The following is a 12,903-nucleotide window of genomic DNA, read 5'->3' as shown; positions in this document are numbered from 1 at the left end:
GTCTTGAACTGAGCCCAGCCACCCACAAATGAAGGATAAATAAGTGTCTATGCCACTGAAATTTTGTGGTTGTTTGTTATGGGGCATTACTGTGCCAGTAACTGATACCTCTTTACTGAGTCAGGAACTGAGCCCCAGAGGGAAGCAGTGGCTTTTCCAACATAGAATTCTAGTCTGTCATGGGCCTAAGTCTATATAATTTCTACCACACGGTTCCTTAAGAGAAGGGGAGGATTAGAGAGGTCACTGCATGGTTAGAGCAGCTGAATGAAGGAAGTCATGGAGGTAACAAGGAAAAGCCTATCTTGGTTGAAATTGTCTTAAGGTAGCATAATGATTCATGAGGTTGGGAAGGTAACTTTCATCTAAATTTAGGAGAGTCTTGAATGTCAGGCTTAGGAAATTCAACTTCATTCTAAGGACATGAAAAGCCATGAAAGCCTTTTCAATACAGAAGAAACCTATGAAGAAAGGCAATTCAGAAAGCCCCTTTAGTACAAAGGGTCAGAGGAATCACCCACAAGCTTTGGCAGTAACCTAGGCAATAAAATAATAGACAATAGGCAATTATTTCTCATGTGTAAGCCAGGACTAATTGTACTTGCCCCAGTAGACACTTCTTACAGAACTGAAATTTTTACTTTTATTTTAAACACATCTAGATTGGTCTAAATGTAAATTAACTCCTTGAGTTTTGTGGGGGTTTTCTGGTTCATTTGTTTTTGAGACAGTATCTCGCTCTGTCACCCAGGCTGGAGTGCAATTTATAATTATGCCAAATTGAGCGTTGTGCAAACATAGTTGTGTATCCAGACTTTCACATTTGAGAGATTCTTTTCTTTTTCTTTTCTTTTTTTTTTTTTTTTGAGATGGGGTCTTGCTTTGTTGCCCAGGCTGGAGTGAAGTGGCACGATCTCGGCTCACTGCAACCTCCACCTCCTGGGTTCAAGCAATTCTCCTGCCTCAGCCTCCCGAGTAGCTGGGACTACAGGCGCCCAACGCCATGCCTAGCTAACTTTTTGTATTTTAGTAGAGACGGGGTTTCATCGTGTTGCCCAGGCTGGTCGCTAACTCCCGAGCTCAAGCAACCCACCCGCCTCGGCCTCCCTAAGTGCTGGGATTACAGGCTTGAGCCACCATGCCCGGCCAACTCCTTGAGTTTTAATGTTCAATTTACTTCAACATACTTTTTATCTAATATTTATAATTCATTATGTGTGTATGCAGAAGCACCCAGCAATTTGTAAATGTGGTTAAAAGAAGTTTTGTGGGCGGGAGCAGTGGCTTCTGCCTGTAATCCCAGCACATTGCGGGGCTGAGGAGGGCAGATCACGAGGTCATGAGATTGAGACCATCCTGGCCAACATGGTGAAACCCCGTCTCTACTAAAAATACAAAAATTAGCTGGAGGTGGTGGCGCAAGCCTGTAATCTTAGCTACAGAGGAAGCTGAGGCAGGAGAATCACTTGAACCAGGGAGTCAGAGGTTGCAGTGAGCCGAGATGGCGCCACAGCACACCAACCTGGCAACAGAGCGAGACTCTGCCTCACAAAAAAAAAAAAAAAAAAAAAAAAAAAAAAAAAAGTTGTGGGGCAGCTGGGAAATGAAACAGGCTAAAAACCATAAATCTACTACCTTTAGGCCAAAATGCTAACTAAAGGAGGAAATGACTATGACAACTGTTATCAACCAAAACAGCACATTACTCAGGATGAATGTTCAGCACCCTGGTTGGTTGGAGACCTTTTCCAAACCAACTACGTCAGGGACTTCAGAAGAGGAAATACATAAATTTTAGTTTACCTGCTTCCTTTAACAAAAAGTACTTGTTTAGTCAAAGAATAACTACATGTGAAATATGAATTGAATTGATTAGAACGCTGTACTTTATTCTAAAGATCATTTAGGTTAACAGACCATATGTGGTTTTTCCTAAGACCTAAGATTTACAAATATCAAACCATTATTACTATCGTGTAGTGATCACTATATTTGAGAAAAAAGTATCAATAAAAGGAGGGTTGTTTTTCTTTTTAGCACAGCATCCTCTGTTTTATATTATATGCAATTGCTTTTCAAGAAAGTGGTCTACAAAGCAGACCATATAAGGAGTCATCCTCCAGGAAGATAAAAGGTGAAATTCCAGATATGAGATAGCCAGAGCTGCCCAAATACCCTTCTATCCCTAACCTCTCACATCCACAGAATTTCTTTTTCTATCATCCTTTCTCCCTCCACTGAAGGGCCAATGCTCTGGTGGGACTTGGCTGAAGATTGCGCACACATGGAGAGCAGGGTCACTGTTTTTAGCTGGGAGCTTTTAATGACCAAACATAGGCCTCGAATTAGAAGTAATGTAAACTACAATTTCCAACTGAAATACACCTACAGTTCAGATCTTGCTTTCTTAGACATACAACATTTCCGGGAATTTGGGAAGTATTATGGCACTCATTTTTTTTTAAGAGGGGCACATTTTAGGATGGTTTAATTAAATGCATGACTGATTTATTTCCAATATTCTTTAAAGAATGAGTATGAGCATCTCATAAGGCTTTTAGTAATCAGGCCCCCATGTTTGCAAAATTCCCATCCCTTTTTCTTTCTTTATTTTCTTTTTCTTTCTTTCTTTCTTTTTTTTTTTTTTCTTTCTATCTTGCCTATTCCTGATAGAACTGTAGTGGGAAGTAGAATTCTGTGAGTGAATTCAATAAGTGAGAATTTGGGAATTCTTAAACTAAGACCATGGGAAAAACTAGGAGAAAATAAAATAGGTACTGAAATGAGTCTTACAGGTGGACAAAAGTAGGAGAGAGTTTATTTGTCTTTTGAAATGTGTAATAAATGCTTAGACTAAACTATAAAATGACTATTTGTATTTTTTTTTTTTTAAGATGGAGTCTCACTCTGTCGCCAGGCTGGAGTGCAGTGGCGCGATCTCGCTCACTGCAACCTCTGCCTCCCGAGTTCAAGTGATTCTCCTGCCTCAGACTCCCAAGTAGCTGGGACTACAGGTGCACACCACCATGCCCATCTAATCTTTGTATTTTTAGTAGAGATGGGGTTTCACCATGTTGGCCAGGATGGTCTTGATCTCTTGATCTCGTGATCTGCCCGCCTCAGCCTCCCAAAGTGTTAGGATTACAGACGTGAGCCACCACACCCGGCTGACTATATGTATTTTTAACTTATAAAATGTGTAAGCATTCTATACAGGAGGCTGCCTTTTCTTCTTTGTTTATATTTGTTAAAGAAAATAAACACAGGAACAATGAATAAATCTAGGTAAAAGAAACATACTACATTAGAACTGAACTTTCTTTTTCTGTGATCTATGTTCTCACGAGTATTATTTTATCATTTTCTGGAAAAGTTTCCAAACAATGAAATTTTGTTTCTAGTAATTATTTCTCAGGAACTTGAGCATCAAGGATGACTGTTTCAGGCTGCTCTGATTCTGATCATTTAAATGTTTAAACCAGGTTTCCCATCCAGGCAACCATGATCTGTGTTCAATAGGAACTCAGACTCCATGAACCACAGGATCTCAGGTTGGATACTTGGCTCCTTTATCAGCCTCAAAGGGATAGCCAGGTTGGATTTCTGGAAACACACTGTATATGAGTGTTGGGGGTTCTGTATCAGTGGAGGGAGAGAAGGAGTTAAAAGACCCCCACCTGTTGACTAGCTTCTCTTTCGGCCTCACAACTGATGTTTGAATCACATGCACCCACACTGTTTCCTCTAATACTGTACTCTGTGGTGTCAACATATTAATATATATACACATATATATCTCTTCTTTTTTTTTTTTTTTTTTTTTTTTTTGAGACAGAGTCTCTCTCTGTCGCCCAGGCTGGAGTGCAGTGGTGTGATCTCAGCTCACCACAACCTCCGCCTCCTGGATTCAAGCAATTCTCCTGCCTCAGCCTCCTGAGTAGCTGGGATTACAGGCACGTGCCACCACGCCTGGCAAATTTTTGTATTTTTTGTAGAGACGGGGTTTCACCATGTTGGTCAGGCTGATCTCGAACTCCTGACCTCATGATCTGCCCACCTTGGGCTCACAAAGTGCTGGGATTACAGGCGCGAGCCACCGCACCATCTCTGTATACATTCACAGACGTGTGTGTGTGCATTTGTGTGTGTGTGTGTATTTTTGGTTTGTTTGTTTTAATAGCACCACCTTGGATTCTGTGCTTAGGGAGAACAATTATTTCTTCCTACTTTATCTATCTGCCTCCTTCCTCCCCTAGCTCCAACTAGCTTTTGCTAAGTCCACAGTCACTTCCAGAAGGTCAAAGGGCCTGATAACATCCTCCCTATCTCCCTGGTTTTCTGAGAACCAAGGAAAGTAATGGAAAACCACTTCCAACATCCCACTGACTCAAGGATCAGTTCTATTACCTCTCTCCAATTCTTCCCCACCTCCCCAAATCCTCACTTGCATATCACCTTATTGGTCACGTTAAAACTGGAGAGGAATAAAGTTAATCCTCTCTCTCTGAAAAAGATTAGTCACAAGTCGGTTAATGAATAACTATATTTTAAAGTTGTTTGGAAATGTTAGCCAAAAAAAAAAAAAACTACATAAAAGGTATTCAGTATGGCAGTCTGCTAATAACTTGGTAATAAAAAGTAAGGATCTTTAAGCATTTTATACTTTAAATGATTTATTTTACTTAAGACCTCATATTTCAGTCTTTTCAAGGAAAGAGATATTTAAAAGTTCATTAATATTTCCTCTTACCACCCACATTCGGTTTCATTCTCAACACACACACAGTGTCCTCTGAAGAAAGAGACAGATAGATACATCCTGTATAACCTGCTGATGACTGCACCAGGAAACGAACTTGTCAATTATGCAAACAACTGTAAACTTCCAAATATAGAAAATATAGTATAGTGTAATTTATTTTCTATATTCTGTTTTATAGTACTTTAAAAAATTAACTATTATGTTTCAGTGTTAAAAACTCGAAGATCTCATATGCAGTTTAGTTGACACAAAATCAGAATTTTTAGTCGACACAAAATCAGAATTTTTAGTGATTGGTTCTAAGGTTCAATACCCCCAAATTTTTTTTTGTTTTAAATTTTTTAAAAATGAAGAGTTTTTATTTCTTTGTAAGTCGACACTCAAAATTAAACATAATTTAAGGACATATTGCAAGTTTCTTTTCAGAAAGCAAAATGAAAAGGCTTCACCTGCATCTCTAAAAACAAAGCCAATTAATATGCCAGGTTCCTTTCCTCCACCAAAAATAATGGAACATTTGCATACAGCAGAACTAGGAAGCTAGTCTCGTTCATCAGCTTATTATAATGCCTCCTGACAGCCTCACACACTGCCTCATCAACATCATACTGTTTCAATTACACATTTTTTTTACCCACTTCACGTGTTAAGCCATCTTCACTTCTATCTCACCTCAAGCTGCAGTATATAATTGAACTGCATTTTTCCAAGCATAGATGGATTCTCTGCAAGTCAGAAACTGAATCGCTAACATTGTATTGTTCCAGGCCACAAAAGAAAGGGGAAAAGGTGGGAGGGAAAAGAACCACGGTGGATTTTAAAGAAACAAATAATCCCTCCCCACAAAAGCCTGCCCCTCGGAACCAATGGCAGAAAGAATTAAGAATTGGCTGGAGCGCAGTATGGGGTCCCTCTGCCAAGGAAATGGAAATTGTCTTTTTAAGAACCACTGAAGCCTGCTCACTCCCCTGTGATCATCCTACCAGTCTGCTCCACAGTGCAAGAGTAAGGAAGCAAGGGCTTTGATTTTGCCAGCAAACTATAGGAAAACAAAATAAAGACTGGGCTTGAAAAGATGAGCTTTAATTTAGCAAATGCCATAGAGATATATCCCAAGACAACTGCCACCTCACATTTAAAAAACTATCTTTTATTTGGATCATGAAGAAAAATGTGGATAAAGCAAAATAATTCCAAAAGAGCATGGCTCTTATTAAGTGGCTCTGGAAAAACTCTAGGCAGACTGAAGGAAAACGCCTTCATATCATTACAGAGTCCATCTTTCAGAAAGAATTATAATTGCATGAATATGTAGCGTTCAGAGAGCTGAGTGGAGAGTAAGTTTTCATAGCAACAGAGCAGGTTGGAAATCAGATGTAACAGATTTTTTGGTGTTTAGATGATTTAGGAAAATTTCACATTACCTTCCTCTCAAATTGACATTTCATCCTGATTGGTTAATTATCATTTTTTCTGTTTCAGCAGCAAAAAGGTCCCGAGTAATGCAGTTGGAGCTGTATTGTCTTTGTATGACTCCCAAATGTAATTTTAGGGTCTTTTCAGCCCCTGTTGATGTTTAACTTAAAAACTACAATCAACCTTTTAGCCCACAGACCCTAAGCCTCACGTTAAAATCTGTAAAAACTGGTAATCCTGGCCTGTTTTCGTTCTCCCAGGGCTCAGAGAGCTTGACCATGTCTGAACAGATGGGACAGTTTGAATGAGAACAGCATGCACTCTAGAGGTTCTCTGCATTTGGGTGGCAGCTTTACATACCAACAGGACGTTTGCCTGCATTTAGGTTGGAAGCACAAGAGGCCTGCTAAAGAGTGCTCACTCACTCTCCAAGGTATGAAGGATTCTTCAGCCCTCTGAAAATAATTCCAATACTATGTAACACTTTTTTAAAATCAGTGCCAAATGTATTTAAAATTAAGTAATGTTGCCAATAGCTGAGGCCTTCAAATATAGAAATTTTTATAACATCTGATATGGTTTGGCTGTGTCCCCACCCAAATCTCATCTTGAACTGTAGTTCCCATAATCCCCACCTATGGTGAGAGGGACCCAGTGGGAGGTAATTGAATCATGGAGACAGTTTTCTGCATGCTATTATTGTGATAGTAAGTCCTCATGAGATCTGATGGTTTTATAAGAGGCTTCCCCCTTCGCTCAGCTCTCATTCTTCTTGCCGCCACCATGAGAAGCATAATGTGTTTGCTTTCCCTTCTGCCATGATTGTAAGTTTCCTGAGGCCTCCCCAGCCATGCTGAACTGTGAGACAATGAAACCTCTTTCCTTTATAAATTACCCAGTCTCAGGTATGTCTTTATTAGCAGCATGAGAATGGACTAATACAACACCTTACATTTTAACCACATATTATTTTGTTTCCACTATATTATATTTATTGAGAGTCCACTAAGAGCTAGATTCTTGAATTAAATAAAGAACAAAAACACTGTGGACACTGCGGAAAAGAAACATGAATTAACTATTAGATAAGTGGTGAAACCGCACATGTAATAAAAGCTGCAAAGGAGAGATAGTTACTTGGAGCTGTGAGACCCTTCTATAAGGGGATCTGACCTAGTCAAGGAGGTCTTGAAATTAGAGTGTGTTGATGTGAAGGATAAGTAGGAGTTGACAAGACAATGAGGGGAAAGAAGAGAATGCCAGGAAGAGGAAACAGCAAAGTCCCTATCATGAGAGGGGGCATGTTGAACACAAAGAATGAGACACAGTTTTTAAAAAGACCACCATGCCTAGAAAACAAGAGTGAGCAGGGTGAAGGATGAGACCGAAGAGAAGGCAGAGGCCAGGTCTTGTAGGTCATGTTGAGGGATAGGACATGGAGGAAAAAATAAGAATATATTTATGGGTCACGTTGAAATCTTTTGCAGGAGGTGACAATAATTTATGTTTTGTAAAGATCACTCTGGCTGAAACTGTGGAGAACAGAGTGGATGGGGACAAAAGTGGATCTGGGTAGATGAGTTGGGGGCTACTGTGTGCAGCAGTCTGAGCGCCAGTGGGTGGTGAGAGGTGCACATGGTAGGTTCTTGGTGTGGCCCAATGCAGGATGGACATATGTGTTGCCTCACTCTTTATTTGTAGACACTCGTCCTCTATCCTGCACCCTGCCTCCTGAATAATCTTCTCAAAGTGCAATACTGACTCTGTCATTTTCCACGTACCCATGGCAACAGGCTCAGTCTATGCTGGCACTCAGGATTGAAAACCTGAGCCCAACCTATTTTTGAGGTTGCTTTTCCACTTCCTATCTATGCAGAGCCCCACTTTGTCCAAAGTAGTTTACTTACCTTCCTGTTGTTTATGTCCTTCAACCCAGCCTCCTGCTGTCCTGCTCTTCTTTACACTTTTGTTAAGGCCTGAATTCATCTCCCACCTCTGTTCTCCCTGTCTAAATCCTGCCCATCCTTTCCCTCCAGCTTAAACCGCTTCCATTAAGAATTATCAGGCCACTGAAGTCCAATTACAGATCTCTCAAATTCTACCACATGCATTTTGTGTTATCTGGCAATTAATCATGCCTTGTTTTGCTATGCCAAATTGTCAATTGATAATAGTAATTTTTTTAGCTTTTCACAGGTGTATGTTTTATCTCTTTATCTAATTAATAAGGCACTGGTGGCAAGTGCCCTATTGTATATTTTTCTGTGCCTTTCTCAGCACCTACACAATGCTTCATATATAGTTAGGTCTTCAATGACAAAGTACTGTTTAAAATTTGCTCTGAGATATGCTTTACCTTGGCCCAGGAAATCAGGAAAGGGTTTCGGAGGACTCCACCTAATCTATTTAATCAGACTTGGAAAATTCTTGGAGTAACATATATTAGGTGGTAAAACTGCCAGAGTAATTTTGAACCAGAATCTCCAGTGATAAGTCTGGATTTACCAAGGAAGAAAAAAGAGACTCTGGAGTGATAAAAACAAAAAGCCTGTATTCAAATCCTGACTCAACCACTTACGTTCAAACAGATCTTGATCTAGTTCTTCATTTCTCTAAGATTCTGTGTCCTCATCTGAAAAATGGGGATAGTTGTACCTATCCAGAAGACAGTATGTAAAGATATGATACAAATCTGAGTGAGCACCTGGCAAGCTGTCTGGTCATTGGTATTAAAAGAAAAGTGAGTAATTTCTCCTCAAGTCTTCCAATTACCTCTACTCTAAGGCACATGTACCCATGCACGCATTTTCACACTCATTCACACACACACACTCACACAAGAAACTTCTTTTAATCTGTCCTTTACTCCCATATTGTGACTGAATTGACTTGACTTCTCAAATCCATTATCTTTTTTCTTTTTGTCTCTGTTTTCTTCTTTCTCCGTCTTTCTTATTTTGATGAACACCTAACAACAAGATGTTGGAAATTACTGTTGAAAAAAATATATACCCACTATTGACAGTCTTTTCAATATACCAGCAACATTACTGAATGTAAACAGGAAGGGTAAGAACTTCTACCAAATTCCCTTCCTATTGTCCAACAAGCAAACATTTCTGCTCTGAGCCATTAATCCTCCTATTGTATTCTCTTCCCAACAGTCTAACTGAGTGAGATTAAAAATCAAAAGAAAAAAATAGTTGAGAGATTAGGAGATACTGACAATTCAAGCTCCCTAAAAGTCTCTGAATGACCAAGAAACAGGAAAAGTTGGCCTTTCTCATTAAAATCTATTTGAATCAGTGCAATGTCTGAAGGCATTACGTAATGTTTATATGTAGACTTTGTATACTTGAGATGTGGTAAAATAGCCAAAACAAGATTGCCCTCATCTGATATCAGCTTCTCTAAATGTCTCAACAGTGACTATTCCCTTAAGAACTATAGGTATGCAGGGCATTCAACGTGTATCAGGAGCTGTAAGAAACAGACGAATGCCAGCCTGTTCCAACCCGCGGTATCTATTAATCACTTTTTAGACGGGCACTATTTAATGTCACATGAAGACAAGTGAGCACTGCTGTTGGCTGTTTACCAAGACTCTAGAACAAAGTCCACTTTGGCTGCTTTCTGCCTTAATTTATTTTTAATAATGCATACTAATTTTTATGTGTCATTGGCAGTCAGCTATAAATTTTTCTCATTAAAAATAACTCCCCTATATAGAAGTACAGGGATGAAATAAGTGTGTATTTCCAACTCAAAGAAATATATTTTTTAACTGATTTGTGTGACTCTAACCTGAGGCCATATTAAAAAATAAAACCCTCAAAATTTTTGCAAAATTGACCCAATCTTGAAAAGATATATGTAAAGTTGCCTGAATCTATTAGAGATTTTCATTATTATTGTTATTTTAAAGAGTTTTCTTTTCTAGTTTCATTAAACCTCTGATGTGAAAAAGTGAGTGTTCTATACAGATGGAAGAAGTCTGGTCAGCACTTAAGAAGCTGACTAACAGGGACTTAGCTAGCTCTAAGGCGATTCCTATTAGAATGAAAAAGAAACAGACTAAGTGCCAAACTCAAAACTATTCTCTTACAGAGATAAACTGTAAGTGCTCTAAAGAAAGTGAAAACAGCTCTCTGGGGAATGCTTGGGATTTGGGCAAAAGAACAATGCAACTGTTTCTATAAGTCAATTGGAAATACTGGGGCTGGGGCGGGGGATTTGGAAGAGTTCTGAAAATGGGAAAAAGAGTTGCCAGAGGGTGAAGTTGAAGGTTTGGCCCCCATTTAGATTTAGTTCACTGATCCTGTAGACAAACACTCGTTAGTTTTGTAAAGGAAATAAATTAGCCCCAAGATGAATGTGGACTCAATTTGTAACAGAGAGGCTAATTATATTTTTAAAGCCTTCAAGAATATATAAACTATCACCTGGTCTTTAGGATTAATAACATTTCAATACTTCAAAATAAATGGGTTGCTTAAACAACACTAAAAATTTCTACACCTTGCCTTCGGAAAACCTATATGATACAGTGATTAGCTTGGGCTTTTCTAACTTCTTCAACAACATTGAGAATGATTCCTGAAAAACTACAGATCAAAAATGGATACATGATTTATTCCTCTTTTCCTTGAATATGAAAAAGCTGAAATTGACTTCAAAAGGATTCTCTGGGAGTTATAACTATGCTCTAGCAAGAGGTTCCAATAAATCAAAGATGGCTATCTGTGTTGAACAAAAATCCAGGAAGAAAACTCATGACCCACTCCAGAGCAATCTGAGCAACTTTCTCAATCTTTAGAGCACAAACAAGTCTAAGCTTGAATTTTCGACCTGGTGCTAAACTTGCATATGATTCAGGAAAAGATAAAAATGATTGCATGTTCTCTCTCAATTTTAACTCCAATACACCTGATAGGAAAATATCTCCATTTCGGAGATGCCAATATGGAATCCCTCAGACAGAGGGCAGAAGCTGATAAGCAGGAAGAATGAGATCTCTCAGGAGAAGAGTCCATGGGGGCTTCATTTTTATCAATGATTGTATACTTAGATGTGGAGGTGGAAAGTGGATTATCAATCAGGAGAAACACTGACCCAGTGCAGTTGCATGTGTTTTTTTGCAGAAAGGTTTTAAAATACTGGCAGTAAGAATTAATGAGTGAGTAGGTAAAGGAAGTAAAAATGAAACTAAGTAATAAAAAATGATAATAAGTTACATGATATGAGGAAAACAACAGAACACAATATGGCAATGAGGAAGATGTTAAATAAACCTTGCATTTCTGAATCATCTTAAAAGAGATCTTTTAACTTTTAAATTTTCCCCAAAGGGAGGCTCAGTCAATAACATGTAAAAATCTGAAACCTGAGCTACTATTCCGTATTTATTGAAACAATTATTTTAGGAATTCTACGTGGTGATAACAAGTTCCATGCTCATCGTCTTTCCACAGTATGCAAGATGAAACTGTAAACCAAATATTTACTGCACCCTTACTATGAATTTGATTTTTTTAAATGCTATTTAAATCACTAAACTTCATTTTTTGAAAATTCATTTAAAGGGTCTTATTCAATATTTGTTGCCTGTCACCAGGCCAAGACTGAGCAAATAAATGGGAGTATGCCTTCATATGGGCAGAACTTTACCACTCACCCAAAGTACATCCTGTGTTTCCCTGTTGATTATGGTGTCCATTTTGTCCAGTAAATATAACTGAAATCTCTGCTTTGGCCACTCGAGGTCTCCTTGCTTACTCTCTCATTCTCAGGGGTATTCAAGGTAGTTTACCTCATCAAGTTGTGAATTATCTTCTGACCGCTGCTGTCCCTGGATTTCTTCTATACAAATTTGCTTTTATATTAGATTCAGTATCACTCATCTGAGTAAAGAGCTATTTCTATTTTGCATGGAGAAATATATAAATAAAAATAAATACAGTTGATCAATTAGAAAATATGTTTATAAACATGAAATTAATATTCTCATTTAAAAGATGAATTTTAGGCTGTAACACATTGATGAACATGTGGAATTGCTACATTTATCCAACTTCAACTTCAGAAAGAGGTACATTTTCCAGAAAACTCAATTTAACAAATTGAAGAATCAAAACTTCTAATTGTCAGAATAAATTTAAAATGACCTAATCCTAAAAGATACTACACTTGTTTCTGTTTAAACAATCAGAATGTAATGTATGTAAGTTAACCTTTACTTAAGAAGTGATTCAACAAGGTATCATGGCATGATTTTTCAGTTTTATGGCTAGTTTAGTATCCAAAGGTCAGCTGTCATCTCTTGCTACAGCCAGTCACGCTTTATGAACAATATGCCTTTTTTGTATTTATTGCTTCTACTTTGTGATGGGTTCAGAAATTTGACGCCAGACCTATTAAATTTGAATCTAAATACATATATGTTGGATCAGGATATATACTGGATACAGTGGTTTGAGGCAGCTTCTACTGTTTGCTTTTATACACCCAAACACCCTCCTTACCTTATGTGAGTGTGTGAGAGTGTGTGTTTGTATATGTGTGTGCATCCTTGAAGCATGTGTAAAAGATTTTGCACAAGCCACAGACTTCGTGCCCCTCTAGGTGTCTTTTACAACCAAAATTTCAAAATTTTGATCCATGTCCCCCAAATTAAAGATTTAGAACTCAGGAATATATTTTTGACTGAAAAAAAAAAGTAAGTATTT

The 12,903-nt window shown here is 38.3% G+C and overlaps 1 protein-coding gene across 3 annotated transcripts in view, besides 1 other annotated feature; it reads right to left on the bottom strand.

Annotated features, from left to right (window-relative positions):
* The window catches only part of MACROD2 (mono-ADP ribosylhydrolase 2), a 2,057,682-nt gene that overhangs the window by 1,331,077 nt on the left and 713,702 nt on the right, over window positions 1-12,903 (bottom strand). The gene's annotated exons all lie outside the window — the stretch shown is intronic.
* Window positions 6,276-6,777: an enhancer, noted in NCBI's record as "NANOG hESC enhancer chr20:14695990-14696491 (GRCh37/hg19 assembly coordinates)". NCBI's record gives its function as "activates a minimal SCP1, AML or CMV promoter by ChIP-STARR-seq in naive H9 embryonic stem cells {active_cell/tissue: H9 hESC(naive)}" and the evidence as "EXISTENCE:reporter gene assay evidence [ECO:0000049][PMID:30033119]".

This window comes from Homo sapiens, chromosome 20, assembly GCF_000001405.40.
Source record: "Homo sapiens chromosome 20, GRCh38.p14 Primary Assembly".
Classification (NCBI taxonomy): Eukaryota; Metazoa; Chordata; class Mammalia; order Primates; family Hominidae; genus Homo; species Homo sapiens.
Note: the sequence above shows the minus strand (reverse complement) of the source record. Positions and strands in the feature narration are given on the sequence as shown.